General features: G+C 54.6%; 1 protein-coding gene across 9 annotated transcripts in view, besides 5 other annotated features; it reads right to left on the bottom strand.

Moving 5' to 3' along the window:
- VAV2 (vav guanine nucleotide exchange factor 2) overlaps positions 1-17,741 on the bottom strand; it is a 230,431-nt gene that overhangs the window by 54,417 nt on the left and 158,273 nt on the right. The gene's annotated exons all lie outside the window — the stretch shown is intronic.
- Positions 6,414-6,463: an enhancer, noted in NCBI's record as "active region_29251". NCBI's record gives its function as "activates an Ori minimal core promoter by ATAC-STARR-seq in GM12878 lymphoblastoid cells {active_cell/tissue: GM12878}" and the evidence as "EXISTENCE:reporter gene assay evidence [ECO:0000049][PMID:35858748]".
- Positions 6,804-6,893: an enhancer, noted in NCBI's record as "active region_29252". NCBI's record gives its function as "activates an Ori minimal core promoter by ATAC-STARR-seq in GM12878 lymphoblastoid cells {active_cell/tissue: GM12878}" and the evidence as "EXISTENCE:reporter gene assay evidence [ECO:0000049][PMID:35858748]".
- Positions 7,944-8,053: an enhancer, noted in NCBI's record as "active region_29253". NCBI's record gives its function as "activates an Ori minimal core promoter by ATAC-STARR-seq in GM12878 lymphoblastoid cells {active_cell/tissue: GM12878}" and the evidence as "EXISTENCE:reporter gene assay evidence [ECO:0000049][PMID:35858748]".
- Positions 8,186-9,182: an enhancer, noted in NCBI's record as "H3K27ac-H3K4me1 hESC enhancer chr9:136689618-136690614 (GRCh37/hg19 assembly coordinates)". NCBI's record gives its function as "activates a minimal SCP1, AML or CMV promoter by ChIP-STARR-seq in naive H9 embryonic stem cells {active_cell/tissue: H9 hESC(naive)}" and the evidence as "EXISTENCE:reporter gene assay evidence [ECO:0000049][PMID:30033119]".
- Positions 9,183-10,180: an enhancer, noted in NCBI's record as "H3K27ac-H3K4me1 hESC enhancer chr9:136690615-136691612 (GRCh37/hg19 assembly coordinates)". NCBI's record gives its function as "activates a minimal SCP1, AML or CMV promoter by ChIP-STARR-seq in naive H9 embryonic stem cells {active_cell/tissue: H9 hESC(naive)}" and the evidence as "EXISTENCE:reporter gene assay evidence [ECO:0000049][PMID:30033119]".

Here is a 17,741-nt window from a genome sequence, read left to right on the forward strand (position 1 = left end):
AATTTAATAAAGCCTAATTTATCACCTTTCCTTAGTCGCATCCTGGCTCTGTCCTGTGTCCTAAGAAATCCTTGTGCCTTGTCTAAGAAATCTTTGCTGTCTTTCAATCACAATATATTTTCTTATCGGAACTTCATAGTTTTAGCCACTCTGTTTAGGTCTCTGATTTCATCTCAAGTTAATTTATGTGCGTGGTATGAAGTAGCAGGGTTCACTTTTTTCCCATAGGAATATCCACATGTTCCAGAACAATTTCTCAAAACGCCTCTTTTTCGAGCAGGGCATGGTGGCTCATGCCTGTCGTCCCAGCTACTAAGGAGGCTGAGGAAGGAGGATTGCTGGAGTCCAGGAGTTTGAGGCTGCAATAAGTTATGATCGTGCCACTGCACTCCAACCTGGGCGACAGAGTGAGACCCTGACTCTTAGAAAACAAACAAACAAACAAAAACCTTACCATTGGATTGCTTGGATCTCTGTCAGAAACCAATTGACCAAATAAGGGTGAGTCTATTTTGGAATAACTACTCTATTCCATCCATCTATTTGTCTATCTTTACACTAACACTTCTGTGTCTTGATACATTTCATAGAAACTCTTGAAATCACGTAATGTAAATCTAGCTTTGTTCTTCTACAAGACTGATTAAGCCATTCCAAGGTCCTCTGCATCTCCATGTAAACTTTACAACCGTCTTGTCAATTTTTTTAAAAATGTCTGCTGGGATCATGGTAGACACTGCATTGAGTCTACAGTGTAATTTGGGGAGAACTGCCATCTTAACGATAACATCTTCCAATCCATAAACATAGTATATACTTTATTTAAGTCTTCCTTAATTTCTCTCAGAAACATTTTGTAGTATTACGACAGAGGCTTTGGAATTTAGGAAGAATTGGGCCTTTTCTTTTTCAATGTTTATTCTGCTTCCTTCATTCTTCCTCTTCTGAGAGACTGCAATAATACCCGTGTTAGACGTCCTGACATCATCCCACACGTCTCAGGCTCTGTCCCTTCTTTCCAGGCTTCTTTCCTCCCTGTTATTTGAAGTGTGTAACTTCCAGCCTGGCGTGGTGGCGCACGCCTGTAATCCCAGCACTTTGGGAGGCCGAGGTGGGTGGATCACCTGAGGTCAGGAGTTCGAGGCCAGCCTGGCCAATATGGTGAAACCCCATCTCTACTAAAAATACTCGGGAGACTGAGACAGGAGAATTGTTTGAGCCTGGGAGGTGGAGCTTGCAGTGAGCTGAGATTGCACCACTGCACTCCAGCCTGGGAGACAAGAGTGAAACTCTGTCTCGAAAAAATAAAAAATAAAATAATAAAGTGCGTAACTTCCACCGTACTATCTTCAAGTTCAACGACTTTTCCCTCTGCCGTGTGCAACTTTTTAATCAAGCTGATCCAGCGAGTAGAGTGTTCATTTCAGATATCGTGCTTTTCAGTTTTAGCATTTCCATTTGCCACTTTTCAGTAGTTTCTATTTCCCTGCTGAGGCTCTTCATCCGCTCATTCATTTGTCGTACGTTTTCCTCTAAGTCCGTGACCGTATTTATAATAGCTGCTGTGATGGCTGATTTTGTATGTGAATTTGACTGGGCTAAGGACTACCCAGAGAGCTGGTGAAGCGTTATTTCTAGGTGTGTCTGTGAGGGGGTTTCCAGAAGAGATTGACATTTGAATCAGAAGACCAAGTAAAGATTTACCCTCACCAGTGCGGACAGGTGTCATCCAATCCATTGAGGGCCCACGTAGAACAAAAAAGGCAGAGGGCGGCCGGGCGCGGCGGCTCACGCCTGTAATCTCAGCACTTTGGGGGGCCGAGGTGGGCAGATCACGAGGTCAGGAGATCGAGACCATCCTGTCTAACATGATGAAAACCCGTCTCTACTAAAAAAATACAAAAAATTAGCCAGGCATGGTGGCGGGCACCTGAAGTCCCAGCTACTCAAGAGGCTGAGGCAGGAGAATGGCGTGAACCTGGGAGGCAGAGCTTGCAGTGAGGTGAGATCGCGCCACTGCACTCCAGCCTGGGTGACAAAGCAAGACTCCATCTCAAAAAAAAAAAAAAAAAAATGGGTGGACTTGCTCTCTTCTGAAGTTGAGACATCCACCGTCTCCTGCCCTCAGACATCGGAACTCCTCCTGGGTGTCAGATCTTCAGACTCCAGAACACACACCAGCACCTGCCCATCCCACACCAGGACTCAGGCCTTTGGCCTTGGGCTGACACATCACTGGCTCCCTGGTTCTCTGACCTTTGGACTCAGACTTAAGTTAAATCACTGGCTTTCCTGGGTCTCCAGCTTGCAGGCAGCATATGGCGGGACTTTCTGGCCTCCATAATTGCATAAGCCAATTCCCATAATAAATCCCCCCAGCCATCTACAGAGATCCCACTGGTTATGCTTCTTGGAAGCCACTAATTGCAACATCTGGGTCATCTGAGGGTTGGCTTCTATTGACTCTTCTTTTCTGAGCATGACTCACTTTCTCCTGTTTCTTGCGTTTGGTGATTTCTTTCTTGGACCCGAGATGCTATGAACGATACTCAGCCTCCCGAGTAGCTGGGATTACAGGCACTCACCATGATGCCCAGCTAATTGTTTTATTTTTCCTGGAGACGGGGTTTCACCATATTGGCCAGGCTGGTCTCGAACTCCTGGCCTCAAGCAATGTGCCTGCCTTGGCCTCCCAAAGTGCTGGGATTACAGGCATGAGCCACTGTGCCCAGCCACGCCTGTGTTGTTTTTCTTTCTTTAATCCATGACTACGAGGAACATTCCTTCACACGGGCTCATTCTTCATGCACCACTTCCCATTAACCTCTTGTCATTCGCCCGGGGCACCGAGGTTAAAAGTGAGCAACCTCACACCTGTAATCCCAGCACTTTGGGAGGCCGAGGTGGGCGGATCACGAGGTCAGGAGATCGAGACCATCCTGGCTAACACAGTGAAACCCCGTCTCTACTAAAAAATACAAAAAAAAAATTAGCCGGGCGTGGTGGCGGGTGCCTGTAGTCCCAGCTACTTGGGAGGCTGAGGCAGGAGAATGGCGTGAACCCAGGAGGTGGAGTTTGCAGAGAGCCGAGATCGCGTCACTGCACTCCAGCCTGGGCGACAGAGCGAGGCTCCGTCTCAAAAAAAAAAAAAGAGTGAGCAACCAAAAACACTAGAGGAGAAGCTGTGTTTGGGAATCTGTCTCTGGGACAGAATCATCTTAAACACGCAGACAACATCCCTTCTCTCCCTTCCATCCAATGTCAGTTATCCGAGCCTGTTGATACTGGGGGGGCGGAATCTGGGGTCACCCGGTTCTGCCTGCCACACCCTTAGGCTCCCTTCCTACCGGGCCCTCCTTGTGGAGCCCAGAGCACTGACCATCAGCCTGGCCACACGGATGGCACTTTTCATTCGTCCAAAGCGCTCTCCCAACCATCTGGATTCTGGTCAATGAACACTGGGAGAGATGGGTTCCTCTGTGTCATTTGAAATTCTAAAACAGTGGAACTGAAATTTCATGACACACATATTCTAAATGATGAGAGAGGGAGAAATAAAGGGAACGGTAAAGAAGTGGTTTTTCAAAAAATAAAATTAAATTAGGAAAATAAAATCAAACGTATTTGATAAAACAATGTTAATAATATAAACTTAGTAATTAAGATAAAAACCTACCAGATGTAATGGGTTTAACCAGTATTTCTCCTATGACCGATTCTGCATCAGAAATATGTTGGGTCCTTGGGACACAGGGGACAATGGCCATCTGTCCCAATGACCTCACAGTCCAAGTGGGGAGACTGACTAGGCAGCAGCTGCATCTGAATCCTGGCACCAGGAAATCTCCCAGGTACGGAACAGATCCTAGAGGCAGACACTACTGTGGTGTCACTTGGGGAAACAAGCTCTGCTCCCTAATAGCTCCTTTCCTTTGGCCATCACCGACGTGGAAATGCCACTGCTACCTGGCTTCTTGGCAAAGATGCCATCTCCATAAACAAGTTTCTTTTTCTTTTTCTTTTTTTTTTTTTTGAGACGGAGTCTCGCTGTCGCCCAGGCTGAAGTGCAGTGGCACTATCTCGGCTCACTGCAGGCTCTGCCTCCGGGGTTCACGCCTTTCTCCTGCCTCAGCCTCCCAAGTAGCTGGGACTACAGGTGCCCAGCACCACGCCCGGCTAATTTTTTTTGTATTTTTAGTAGAGACAGGGTTTCACTGTGTTAGCCAGGATGGTCTCAATCTCCTGACCTCGTGATCCGCCCGCCTCGGCCTCCCAAAGTGCTGGGATTACAGGCGTGAGCCACCGCGCCCGGCCTCCATAAACAAGTTTCTTGCACAGGGAGGTGACACACGGCCAGTCTCAGTCACCTGGAAGGCAGGTTCACTTACGTCATGACCAGCAGGCCCAGTGTACCTGAGGGCCACAGCTGTCCACTGGGAGGAAGAGGGAACCCTCAGGGGCTGGGCTGGAGGAGGGGTATACTATGAGACCCACTGAGGGGTCTGAAGTCTCCTGGGAGTACAGGGCAGTGACAGGGCAGGAGGGTCCCATTGTGCAAGGACCCTCACCTCAGCGTTCTCACTAGACATGAGCTTGACGAGAACTCAGCGAAGACGCGGCACACGGAACCAGAGCGCCAGCCCCACATGGCCCTCCACGCAATCCCACAGGGGAGGGGCCGGGCTGTCGTGCCTTCCCTCTGGACCCAGCCCACTCTCCCCCAGTCCTTGAAAAGCACCTCAAGGCCCTGCCACGTCTGCAAGTGGCTCTGGAATCTCCGTGGCACAATTACATCACTCTCCTGTGGCTCTGTGGCAGGCTGCTGTGTCACACACTGATCCTTTTCACATCAGTGTCTCGGCTAGAAAGAAGCGTGTGGAGGCTCCGTGTCATCAGAGGCTATACTTCGTGGAAAAACTCCACACCCATGCCACACCAGTGTCTGGTCCACAGAGCAGGCCAGTCCTCATCACTTCGGAACAGGCGGGCCGCAGTGGGTCTCTTGTTGGCAGGAACTTGACTGTCGCTCCTGAGCCCCTGGAGGGGAGGCAGCGAGGGAAACTAGGGTTGTCTTTGTAGCCCTTCCTGTTTCTAGCTCTGTAACTGCAACCAGGATAACCTAAGCTTCGGTTTCCCATCTGCAACAGGAGAGTGACAGTTCCAAGGATCAGCCATCATGTACAAGACCAGTAGAGGCTGAGCATACAGTAGGTGCTCAATAAGTGGGAGCATGGCCTATCACCCCAGAGGGCGAAAGGAGGGGCTCATTCAATGAGACGGCATTTAGCACAGGGGCCGGTCTCAACACATAGTGTGGTCAGCATTAAAAATGACAGATTTTTTAAAACCTAGGAGACTAAAAAGTTGGATGGGGGTTGGTGCTGCGTTAGTTCCTGCTCAGCTGTGTTGCTTTTGTGGGTTTCAGGGATCATTCTTCTCTGTCCAGTGGTCCATGAGGAGGCCCGAGATGGCCAGGCAGGAATGTGGAAGCCCAGACGTGAATGGGCCTCCACGGCCAGACCTGGGCCCCAGCCCAGCTCCCTCCACCCCAGGCCAGTGACCACCCCTCCTTCCTTCCTGCCCCGTCTCATCCTTTCACTCCTGCTGTTTTCTGGGAGTCAGCTGCGCTGACAGATGCTAAATCCCGACCATTATTTTTGTCCTCACAATAGCTTGAAATCTTCCAGGAGGGGCCCCGAGCACGGCTGTAGCTCTCCAGGGACGGCAAAACCTGCCACCTTCACCTTCTGCCCGAGACCCTGAGGCCCCAGCCCAACAACCTCGCCCACCTGCCCCGATTCTGTTACAGAAAGGCAGCTGCTCAGAGGCCATTGCCCCCGCCGCCCACAGAAAATCAAAAGAAAACCAACAAACTCTGCTTTCTGCCCCTGGTGAGCCTGTGTGTTTACGGCGGACATAAAATAGTGTTGCTGACAGGCTGGGATGCGCCGCACTGGCCCCGGGCTGTCTGATGCTGCCAAGCAGGGTACCAAGCTGCCATTAGTGTGTTACTAGGAAACCGAGTCGGATGTTTCCTGACCTCCGTCCACACCTCAGGGTGCTTCATCCCCAGGGGACTGGGGTGGGGGCAGCAGAGAGAAGGCGCATCGAGCCTCTGAAGAAGCCGGCTGGGAACTGGATGGTGTGCATGTGGGGAAGGACGGACGGAGAGATAGACAGACAGACAGACAAGAACCGCTTTACACATCAGGGAGCTTGTTCTCACACGCCCTGGCAGACCCTCACCACGACCCATGAGGGAGGGAGGCCTTGCTTTTTCTACAGGTGGGGAAACCAGGGCTCAGAGAGGGCATGAGAGTCACCCAGCTCGCCAAGCCACATAGGCGGGTACCTGCACAGGCCCCAGCTACCAGATTCCCGGAAGGAGACCCGTCCACCGGACTGTCCCTCCTGGCCGTAACTCCCTCTTTTTGGGGGCTTCTTTCTAAGCAGTAAAAGAGCCTCCCACCATCTAAAAATATTCAGGAACCAAAAAAGAACAGCCCCTGGGCCAGGTCACAAGGACTAGGCCCAGGGGAATGTCCCGGGCCACAGCACAGGGTTTCATTTCCCCCTCTGCTATGTGAGGCATGCTGTGTGACCTCCGGCAAGTCACCTACCCTCTCTGAGCCTTAATTTGTGCAACTGCAAAATGGGGGCTGGAGCACCCACCTTGCAGAGTTGTGAGGGCTGAGATGAAGCGGCAAAGCCCAGGGCCTGGCTCTCAGGGGACAGGAGCAGGGATTGTCGAACAGCGTATGGACCTATGGCTCAGATCCTCCAGTATGGGAATCGTGAATGCTCTCGGGACCTCATTATCCCCAGCCCTTCCTCCTACCACAGTGAACCAGGCCCAGGCCTAGTTAGGTGTCCTCTCTGTGCTCTGCTCCTTTATGAATGACCCTTATGGAGCGTTTATCTCAGCAGTGAGAAACAGAAGCAGGAAGACAAGGGAAAGTTGGTGGCAGAGACTGTCCTGCTGTCCTTTCTAAGCATCTGGTGAAGGTGAACTTCAATTCAGCCTGGTAGGGTTGGGGGCTGCCTCTTAGAGAAGGTGACCTGTGGGTTGGGTTTTGTAGAATGAATAGGAGTTGGGCAATCGATATAGGAGATACTACGTACGTGATGGGACTTCTACAATAAAACCCAGCATGTGACGCTTGTTCATTTTAGAGCAATATTTCTTAAGTGCCACTGTGTGTCAGTCAGATCTACGCTGAATACAAGGGAAATAACGTCAAAAGGGAGAAGTCTTCCTCTTCCTGGAGTTCCAGAACAGCACGAGGAGGGCGATTTAGAGGGGGAGGGACCTTCATCAGACACAGCACAGCCCTCTCATTCGGGCCGAAGCCCAGCTGCCTACTCCTTCCTGGAAAATGGCAAGATGAATGCGTATGTCTTTAAAGCTGCCCTTCTGCGCCGGTCCCCTCCCTCTGCAGAGACTGCATTAAATGAGACCAGAGAGTTGCTGTGACCGAATCAGTCCTGAAAGCACTCGAGTTTAACGAGGTATTAAAAATGAAAACCCCTGGAAGTCCCAGGCCATACCTGCTCACACACACACGGGAATGCGGAGCGGGCAGGGTGGTCACGCGCACCTGCTCTGCGTGCGTCAGAGGGTTCCCCTGCGATCTCCCACTGAGAAGGAACAAACGGCCTCTCCCTCAGTGGTGGGGGTGGGGGAGCAGGGTTTCGAGGTCACTGAAGCCCCCAGCCACGTGGCAGCAGGGCCTCTGGAGACAGCTGGGGCCCACTGTGGTGCCAGAGTACCAAGGGGCCCACAAGATGTCCGAGGGGGGCAGGGAGGGTCCCTGAAAGTGTGGGGCTCTCATCCCAACGAGCTGCGGTCTCCACAGCCAGCCCCACAGGGAAGTGCTGATGGCTCTGTTAACAGGGAAGGTGCGGACAGGGAGCTCCCGCCCAGCAGTCCCACAGCCACCTCCCGACGGGGACTGGGCTTGTCTAGACCACAGGAGCGAGAAAGGCTGGACTGCCTACAGAGGATCCCCACCGAGCCAGGTCCACCAGCCCTCAGTTCCCGAGAACAGACACAGCAGAGACCAGGACCCTCCTAAAACCCCAGCCCAAAACGGCCCTCAGTTCCCGAGAACAGACATAGAAGAGACCCAGCCAGGACACTCTTAAAACCCCAGCCCAAAACAAGGTAGTGACTGGCCTGGCACAGGGGGTAAGAGCAGGTTTCCTAAATCACACTTTGGCAAATCCTACGCACTCTTCAAAATGAACACCTCCTCCAGGAAGGCTTCCTGCCCTCCTGGCTTGTCAGGGTCTGCCCCCAGAGGCTGCTGCCTGGACAGCACATGTGGGAGGTAGAGGAACCTCGAGTGAGAAGTGCAGGGGCCCACAACGGGGTCCCAGGTCCCAGGTCTGTGGGGCAGGGAGGGCTCCTTTAGCCACCCCTGGGGTTAGGGAGGGGTGGTCTGACAATGACCCTTGGAGAGACAGAGCTGGGCTCAAATTGCAGCTCTGCCCCCTAGTTCTGTACGACTCTGACCAGGTGCCTTCCTCTCTCAGAGCCCCGTCTCCTTCCTGTCCAGCGAGAGGGCTCAGGGCCCGGCCTGCAGCGCTCAGGGAGATGCAACTGGAAGCGTCTTGACAGAGGGACCCTCCGGGGACGCTGGCTTCATTCACTCCATTCTGCCAGTCCCCACAGAGGCCTGGCCTCACAGAGTCACACCGAGGAGCAAGAGACCCTTGGCAGCATTTGAGGGAGCCACATGCGGCCAAGGAGAAGCCCAGGTGGGGCCGAGCACGCAGTCTTAAAGGGTCTGTTGTGCAAATGAGGCACCACGGCCAGTGGGGAGGCAGCTCCAAGGAGACAATGCCACGGTCCAGCCAGGTGTCCTTGTCGATGAAGGACCTGGGGTGGGGGGGCGGGGGACAAAGGCCTTTCTGTCCCGGCCATCACCCGCCTTAAGAAACGCCCCGTCTTCCGTCTCTCCAGTCTCCCCTCCATCCCCACACGAGCCTCGGGCCACCAGGGAGGGACGGGGGGATGCCTGTCAACACCTCCTCTGGGGAAGGGGGCTTCATTCCGGCCTCCTTCAGACCAGGGCAGGCTTTGCATGTGCCTGGGGCCGGGGGCTGTCTAACAGGGCTGGATTCATTTGCTTGTTTCTCGTGGGGCCGTTTTCGTGGAGTCTGCTTTCAAACTTGTCCCCTTTGGAAAAACAATCCTCTGGGGTGAACATAAGGTGTCCCAAACCCAGCCTCTCCCAGCTCAACTCGGGCTCCACACTCAGGCGTCCTCCACAACGCGGACCTCCCAGAGTGAAGATGAACATACATGAGCTCAGGAGATGGTATCTAAACAAACTTCCTCTGGGAGAGGTGGGCAGGGTGAGGACAACGGCGGGGAGGGTGGGCCATAGAGGACAGCGGTTTGTTCCTCACTCCTTGTACCCCTGCAGACAAAGGGCACAGCACAGAGTGGCCAAGGCCCCAGGGCAGGATCCAATGGGAGAAGCACGGCCTCTCCCCTCCCAGGTCGCCGCCAGCAGGCAGCTCCCACTCACTCCCCATGTAGAAAGAAGACGTCCAAACCTCCTCGACACCAGAAACTCCTTCTACATTTTATGCACCCTAAAAAATTATCCCAATGATGCTAACATGACACATTTAAAGCTGCACAGTCATTTTATGATGCAATAAAGCATGCAGCTCTACATTCGCGGATACATTACATTCCCTGCCGTGTCACGATCACATTTGTTTAAGCCTGAAAATCACTTCAACTCCCAGGAAAGTGAAACCAGTGTTATGCAAAGCAGGCTCCTAAATCATAAAATTGTGGATTCCTCAAGCTCAGTGGGATTCACAGACCATCTGGGCAGATGCTTTCGTTTCAGAGACTGGGAAACTGAGGCCCTGTGTGGCATTTAACTTGCCCAGAGAAGCAGCCCCTTGAAAGGAAAGGAAAGGCCAGCTAGACCTTGGGCCCTGGTGACCCGCCACACTAAAGCAGCCAGCAGCTGCAGCCTCACATCCAAGCCCTCGCCCAGAGCCCTGGCCCCAGAATCTCCCTCCCCGCTCGCACTCAGGGGCAGCTCTCCCTTCAAGGATGCTCCTGCTCAGATGCTCTCTGGGGAGAAGCCAGGAGGACACGCGGTTCCTGACAGAGCCTGGCTGTGTCTAGGATCACTCCCTCCTCATGCAGCCACCGGAGTGGCGGGGTGCCTTCCCACAGCAGCCTGTGAGGTTGCAGGACCCTGCTCTGCAGACAAGGATGCTCCTGGTGGGGCATGTTTACCAGCTGGCTGTCAGACATCTAGCAGCACACTCTGGGAAGAGGCTCCAGGTCCAACCACCCCTCCCCCAGCCACCTAGGATGAAGCGGTGGCTAAATAAAGCTTGGTCTCATGTCCATGTCCTTCCTTTGGCCTCTCTTCTGCCCTGAGTGGGAGCTTTCAAATTTCTCCCGTGTCCCTTCAATTCCCCTAAGAATTCTCGGGGACCTCTGACCTGCCGGCACCACGGGAGGGAGGGCAGAGGCAGGCGGCCTGGCCCTGCTGGGGACTGGGGTGTGCAGCCTACTTCACAGACAGGCAAGGGCAACCCTGCCACAGCGGCACCAGTGTCCTCGCAAGACGCACTCATCACGGCGCTCTGTGGCACCCAATCCGGGTGCCCTTTCCAAATCCTCCTCCATCAAGGCCTGGAAGCATTCCCAGGGCCCCCCACAGACTGCAGCGGACCACGCCCAGCCTCAGTGAACAGAAAATGGGAACTAGGAACGCTGGCTGCAGTGCCAGGAGGGGGACAGAGGGCCCCAGGACTCCAGGCCAGAGCAATCAGAGAGATGCTTCTTGAAGCTGGAAGGAAGAAGCCAATGTGCCACCTACCGCTGCGCCCACTGGGGCTGACCACTGAGCATGGGCATCGCCAGCTACTGCTGTGCCCACTGGGGCTGACCACTGAGCGGGGGCATCACCACCTACCGCTGCGCCCACTGAGGCTGACCACTGAGTGGGGGCATCGCCAGCTACTGCTGTGCCCACTGGGGCTGACCACTGAGCGGGGGCATCACCACCTACCGCTGCGCCCACTGGGGCTGACCACTGAGCACGGGCATCGCCAGCTACTGCTGTGCCCACTGAGGCTGACCACTGAGTGGGGGCATCACCACCTACCGCTGCGCCCACTGAGGCTGACCACTGAGTGGGGGCATCGCCAGCTACTGCTGTGCCCACTGGGGCTGACCACTGAGCACGGGCATCGCCAGCTACCGCTGCGCCCACTGGGGCTGACCACTGAGCACGGGCATCGCCAGCTACTGCTGTGCCCACTGAGGCTGACCACTGAGTGGGGGCATCACCACCTACCGCTGCGCCCACTGGGGCTGACCACTGAGCACGGGCATCGCCAGCTACCGCTGCGCCCACTGGGGCTGACCACTGAGCACGGGCATCACCACCTACCGCTGCGCCCACTGGGGCTGACCACTGAGCACGGGCATCACCACCTACCGCTGCGCCCACTGGGGCTGACCACTGAGTGGGGGCATCACCACCTACCGCTGCGCCCACTGAGGCTGACCACTGAGTGGGGGCATCGCCAGCTACTGCTGTGCCCACTGGGGCTGACCACTGAGCGGGGGCATCACCACCTACCGCTGCGCCCACTGGGGCTGACCACTGAGCACGGGCATCACCACCTACCGCTGCGCCCACTGGGGCTGACCACTGAGTGGGGGCATCACCACCTACCGCTGCGCCCACTGAGGCTGACCACTGAGTGGGGGCATCGCCAGCTACTGCTGTGCCCACTGGGGCTGACCACTGAGCGGGGGCATCACCACCTACCGCTGCGCCCACTGAGGCTGACCACTGAGCACGGGCATCGCCAGCTACTGCTGTGCCCACTGAGGCTGACCACTGAGTGGGGGCATCACCACCTACCGCTGCGCCCACTGGGGCTGACCACTGAGCACGGGCATCGCCAGCTACCGCTGCGCCCACTGGGGCTGACCACTGAGTGGGGGCATCACCACCTACCGCTGCGCCCACTGGGGCTGACCACTGAGCACGGGCATCACCACCTACCGCTGCGCCCACTGGGGCTGACCACTGAGTGGGGGCATCACCACCTACCGCTGCGCCCACTGGGGCTGACCACTGACCACGGGCATCGCCAGCTACCGCTGCGCCCACTGGGGCTGACCACTGAGCACGGGCATCGCCGGCATGCGGCCACCTTCCTGGACACCCAGCAGTGCTGCCCCCTGCAGCCAGCACAGGCTGACCCAAGGTGTCCTTCTACCGTGCGGAGAAACACTGTCACTGCAGTGCCACCAAGTTGGGGTCACAGCAGGCATTTCGACGTGGGCCCTGTGCCTTCCTGAGGGAGAGGTGATCCTCCCTGTGAGTCCCCGGGGAACTTCCACAATTCTGATTCGTTACAAACACCAAGCCTTGTCCCACAATAGCACAATACGCTGGACTTGCGCTGGAACAACCCTCAGCCACACCTCCAGATGGGGAGCCCCACCTTGCCCTCCAGCCTCGCCTTCCACACCCTGCACAACTCCTCCTGCTGGGATAGTGCCCCGGTCTTCAGCAAACTCCTCCTTGGGTGCTGAGGCCCAGCTGTCACCTCTTCTGAGGAGGCCCGGCTGTCACCTCTTCTGAGAAGCTTTCCTTGCTTTCTGACCCAGCACTCCGCCAGCCCCACTCTGCTCCCACAGCCAACCATCTTGTGCATGTCACTCTTCTGTGTACAAACCTGCCTCTGGACCCCAGGCTGGGAGCCCCCCAGTGCAGGCATCTAGCCCTGGGCCCCCAAGAGTTGGGCAGGAACGAAAAGGGAAGCGCAGTGCCTGCCAAGGAAAAGCCATTATGCAAATGCAAGGTACTGATTATTAGAGCAATTTAAAAACAGGCCCTCCATTTGGGCTTATTTTGCTTGATAAAGCATTTTTAAGTGGCAATATTTTGTGTTAATTTTTTCAACCAGCTGCTCTTATTATTTGATTATGCATTATTCAAAGCTCTCAAAAGCGAGCTTAGAGCACTTGAGAAAATAACTTCAGTGTTATACGTGCCCACACAGGGGACTGGCTCCAGCTCCCAGAAAGATGTTCTGGATCTAAGACCTGTGCTACCCGGCACAGAGCCACTGGCCACGTGTGGCTGTCCGGCTCACAACATGACAAGCTGCAGTGACCTGCGCCCAAGTGCGAGCTCCATAAGCCAGATCAGAGGACTCAGCGCAAGCACCACAAAACGTAGGCTGCCCAAGGATGATCTGTGACACTGATCACAAGGTGACCCAGATAATATTTTGAATATGCTGGGTTAACTATAACATACATTTTTTTTTTTAAGAGATGAGGTCTTGCTCTGTCGCTCAGGCTGGAGTGCAGTGACAGGATCTATGTTGCCCAGGCTGGTCTCGAACTTCTGGCCTCAAGCAATCCCAAAGTGAAGTGCTGGGATTACAGGTGTAAGCCACTATGCCCAGCCTATAAAATACATTCTTATGATTAATTTCGTTTGTCCCTTCTTATTTTTTGACGTGGCTCCGCTGTAATCCCACCACACTGCCCTGAAACTGTCCTTCGGCTTCCACACTCCCCATGGGGCCTGGGTCTTGGGAGGCAGGAAATGTGTCTTCATCTTAATATGTTTCCAGCTCCTGGTTCCAAGCCTGACACACAGAGAGTGTTTAGGAACCAGCTGACGATGGAATGAACGATGATCGTGTGAATGAATGAAAGCACACAGGCACTCACACGGTGCCCCTCGCTGGTGTCCTAAAACCACATTTGCAGGTTCCCTGGGAGACAAGCTGCATCTGTGAGCCAGTCTTTGACTTTCCCCAAACAGCTGCAGAGTGTCTGGGGTCTGGGCAGTCAGCGGAGTCCTTTAGACATTCAAGGTGACCTTCATGTTGGGCATCTGGCTATGGGCCCAAAGCAAAGAACAGGTGCGTTCTGCTCCAAATGTCCCTTCCTTCTCCTCACTCCTGTGCCTGGTGATATGGTCTGGCTGTGTCCCCACCCAAATCTCATCTTGAACTGTAGTTCCCATAATCCCCATGTGCTGTGGGAGGGACCTGGAAGGAGGTCATTGAATCATGGAGGCGGTGACCCTCGTATCGCTCATACCATTCTCATGATAGTGAGTGAGTTCTCACGAGATCTGATGGTTTTATAAGGGGCTTTCCTCCTTTTGCTCTGCCCTTCTTGCTGCTGCCATGTGAAGAAAAGCGTGTTTGCTTCCCCTTCCACCATGACTATAAGTTTCCTGGGGCCTCCCCAGTCCGGTGGAACTGAGTCAACTAAACCTCTTTCCTTTACAATTCAAGCAATCTTTAAACTGTAATACTAATAGACCTGGCTTCTGATTAGACCATTTCCCCAGCTCCAGCTTTGAAAATTCACAACTACATTACCTCCCCAAGTAGGATCCAGGTAAGAAATGGCATGCGCTTGTGTCTTGTAAATTGCCATAATGGCTAAATATCCACACCAAGTCCACAGAGAAAGGATAGGAAATCTTGCCTTTCAGTGAAAGGAGGAGGGGGAAAAACAACATAAAAAATTTATTAAACTTGAGCCACTGGGACCAAATTGCAAGTTAAAGATTCAAATGCATTCCCCTTCCTTAGAACTGATGATTTACGTTTGCAATAACTGCAGTCATAAAGAGCTCGTTGGATTAAGGAGGCTCAGTCTTAATGTCAGGGAATAACATTATTGGACAGTGCAAAGCCACAGGTTCCCCAGAGCTGCTTTTCTGGGTGAGAGGAATTCCACCTTGCATTTTGGTTCAAGAGATCAGTCACAATCAGGACGGGCAGAGAAAGATGGAAAATGGGCAACTGGCCGGGCACGGTGGCTCACGCCTGTAATCTCAGCACTATGGGAGGCCGAGGCAGGTGGATCACCTGAGGTCAGGAGCCCAAGACCAGCCTGGCCAACACGGTGAAACCTTGTCTCTACTAAAAATACAAAAATTAGCCGGGCGTGGTGGTGCATGCCTGTAATCCCAGCTACTGGGGAGGCTGAGGCAGGAAAATCACTTGAACCCTGGAGGTGGAGGTTGCAGTGAGCTGAGATCGCGCCACTGCACTCCAGCCTGGGTGACAAGAGCAAAACTCCATCTCAAAAAAAGAAAAAAAAAAAATGAAAAAGAAAATGGGCAACCTGGGATCTAGCCTGACTCTCCAGGCAGAAATCCTCTAAACTGAATGTGCACTATAAACCAGCAGGGGCAGGCCTGGCCATGTGGGGGCTGTAGTTCAGGAAGTGTCCTGGGCTGAACACCCAGGAGGCTCCTACGGAGTGGGCATTTCATGTCAGTCCCTGGCCACATAAGGCCGATGTGGGCCCCATCGTCCCGGAGCCCTCCTGTGCTGACTGTCCAGAAACGCTGAGGCATGTTTCTGGAGAGCACAGAATCCCAACCTCAGGCTGGTAACTTAGGAGAAATAGCAGGTCAGAAACTTGCCCTCACACCGGCCAGGAGCTCCCCAGGCTCTGGGGGGCACAGGCTCTGTGTGGTGGGGGGCTAGGGTTAAATCATGGCTCTGCCACTTACTAGCTGGGTGACATGGGCCAGTGGTGTCCCCTCTCTGGACCTCAGTTTCCTTATCTGTAAAATGAGGACAACCACAGAACAGACCTCACAGAGCAATTGAGGGTGGGGGATTTGAGGGAATGAAGCCCAGCAGTGCCCAGCCCCAAAAAAGCTCGTAAGCACCGCCCACTGTTGCTGTCATTGTCCTGTGGGTACAGGCATCCTACCATGTGCAGAAGGCTTGCCCTGCTAGGGCTGGACCAGGAGAGGACAGGAAGAAGGTGCAGGGTCTGACCCTCTGATAGGCAGGGGACAGGCATTTAACCCCCTAATCACCGTGCACCCCTTGGGCAGCCCAGAGACCCAACAGAGGCATGGGTGCTGAGGGGGCGCTGGCCAGGATGGAGCAGCTTCACACAGTGGGAGACACCTTGGCCTGGATGTGGCAGAGAAGGATTTCCAAGGCAAGGAATGCCAGGAAGGGTACAGGGGGGTATGTTCCAACTCTGAGCATAGCAAGTAGGGTGGCTGCAGACTCTGCTGGGGGTTGGGGCCTTATCCCTAAGGGACTTCCCTCTGGCCATGCCACCAGCCAGAAGCCCTGCCCTCTCTGAGCCTCAGTTTCCTCCCCCCTTACAGGGTTGAGATGGACAGTCCCTCAGTCAGTCTCAGAAGCCTGCATGCTGGAGTGAGCTGTTTTTGGAATTTTCTTTTTTTTTTTTACCCCAGACGGAGTTTCACTCTTGTCGCCCAGGCTGGAGTGCAGTGGCGCAATCTTGGCTCACTGTAACCTCCGCCTCCTGAGTTCAAGTGATTCTCCTGCCTCAGCCTCCCAAGTAGCTGGGATTACAGGTGCCCACCATTACATCTGGCTAATTTTTGTATTTTTAGTAGAGACAGGGTTTCACCATGTTGGCCAGACTGGTCTCCGACTCCTGACCTCAGGTGATCCGCCCGCCTCAGCCTCCCCAAAAAATGCTGGGATTCCAGGAGTGAGCAGTTTTTTTTTGAATTTTTGAAGTCTCCCTCAGATTCCTGAGGCTGGTCAGGGTGGACAGTGGCCTCCAGGTGGGCGCCCCAGGCCTGGCTGTGACCTGCATGGCCCCTGTGCCCATCTCTCCCCTTTAAGATGCTCTACAACCCTCAGACCCACGTGGGGCCGACCGGATGTCCAGAGGAGCTCTGGGAGTCTGGCCAGTGGGATTTGCCAAGGACCCCGTGGCCAGCCCAGCATCAAAGGGATGGGCTGGTGGCAGCTACTCCAGCTGGTGGGTGAGGAATTTCTTTCACAGAAGTGCATGAGACTGGGCCGCCAGCGTGGTGCCACATGCTGATATGGGGATGACTTGAATTGTGTATATACACAGGGATCCTGCGGAAAGTATTTTCCTGGGCCCTGCAAGCTAAAGGCAGCCCTGGATGTGGGCTGAGCAGTAAGACAGGGACAGCCCCAGCATACACAGCAGGCACTCCCATACACGCAGCTCCCCCTCTTACTCCTCTCCCGGTTGTCATTCTCAGTCTGTGCTCTAAAACGAAGGGAGAGAGAAACACTAAGAGTCTTCCAGAAGAAACCGTAGTTGAGCTAAGAACACACAAGCTGCTGTCAAACAGCTCCAGAGGCCCCCAGGCAGCAAGGATGCCCGAAGGCACCATCTCCCGGTGGCCTGGGAGGGTGGTGGATGAGCCAGGCCGTGAGGCCCCAGCAAGGATGCTCGGTCTCAGCCCAGGTCCCTCACCTGCAGGTGAGGCCCCTTCCTCCTACCCTCCTACCTCCCTCCTCCTGGAGCGGGCCACGTGATCCCACCCTGGTCACAGATTCCCACGGTCCCGATGGGGCCCTGGTGCTGTGGCCAGGCTTGGGCAGCGCCTGGGTGGAGCAGAGGCCTCTCAGAGAGAGGAATGAGGTGGACACGGAGAAGAGCAGAGGCGGGTCCACCGAGGCAGGGCAGTGCCTGCCGGGCCACGTGTTAACCCCGAGCCCACACACTCCTGTGCCCTGAACCTGCGCTCCAGGCAGCACCGCTCCCTCCTCACAACACGGCATCCCAGGACCCGGCTTGGGGAGCATGGCCAGCCCCCTCTCTGCCCCACAGCTTCGCAGAGACAAGCCCTCATGGAGGACCCTGCTAGGGCAATGGGCCAACACCCGGGCCAGCCATTAGACTGGCTGGGCAGCCTTCTAGAATGTACAAGGGATAT

The sequence above is a fragment of the Homo sapiens genome, chromosome 9 (assembly GCF_000001405.40).
Source record: "Homo sapiens chromosome 9, GRCh38.p14 Primary Assembly".
Classification (NCBI taxonomy): Eukaryota; Metazoa; Chordata; class Mammalia; order Primates; family Hominidae; genus Homo; species Homo sapiens.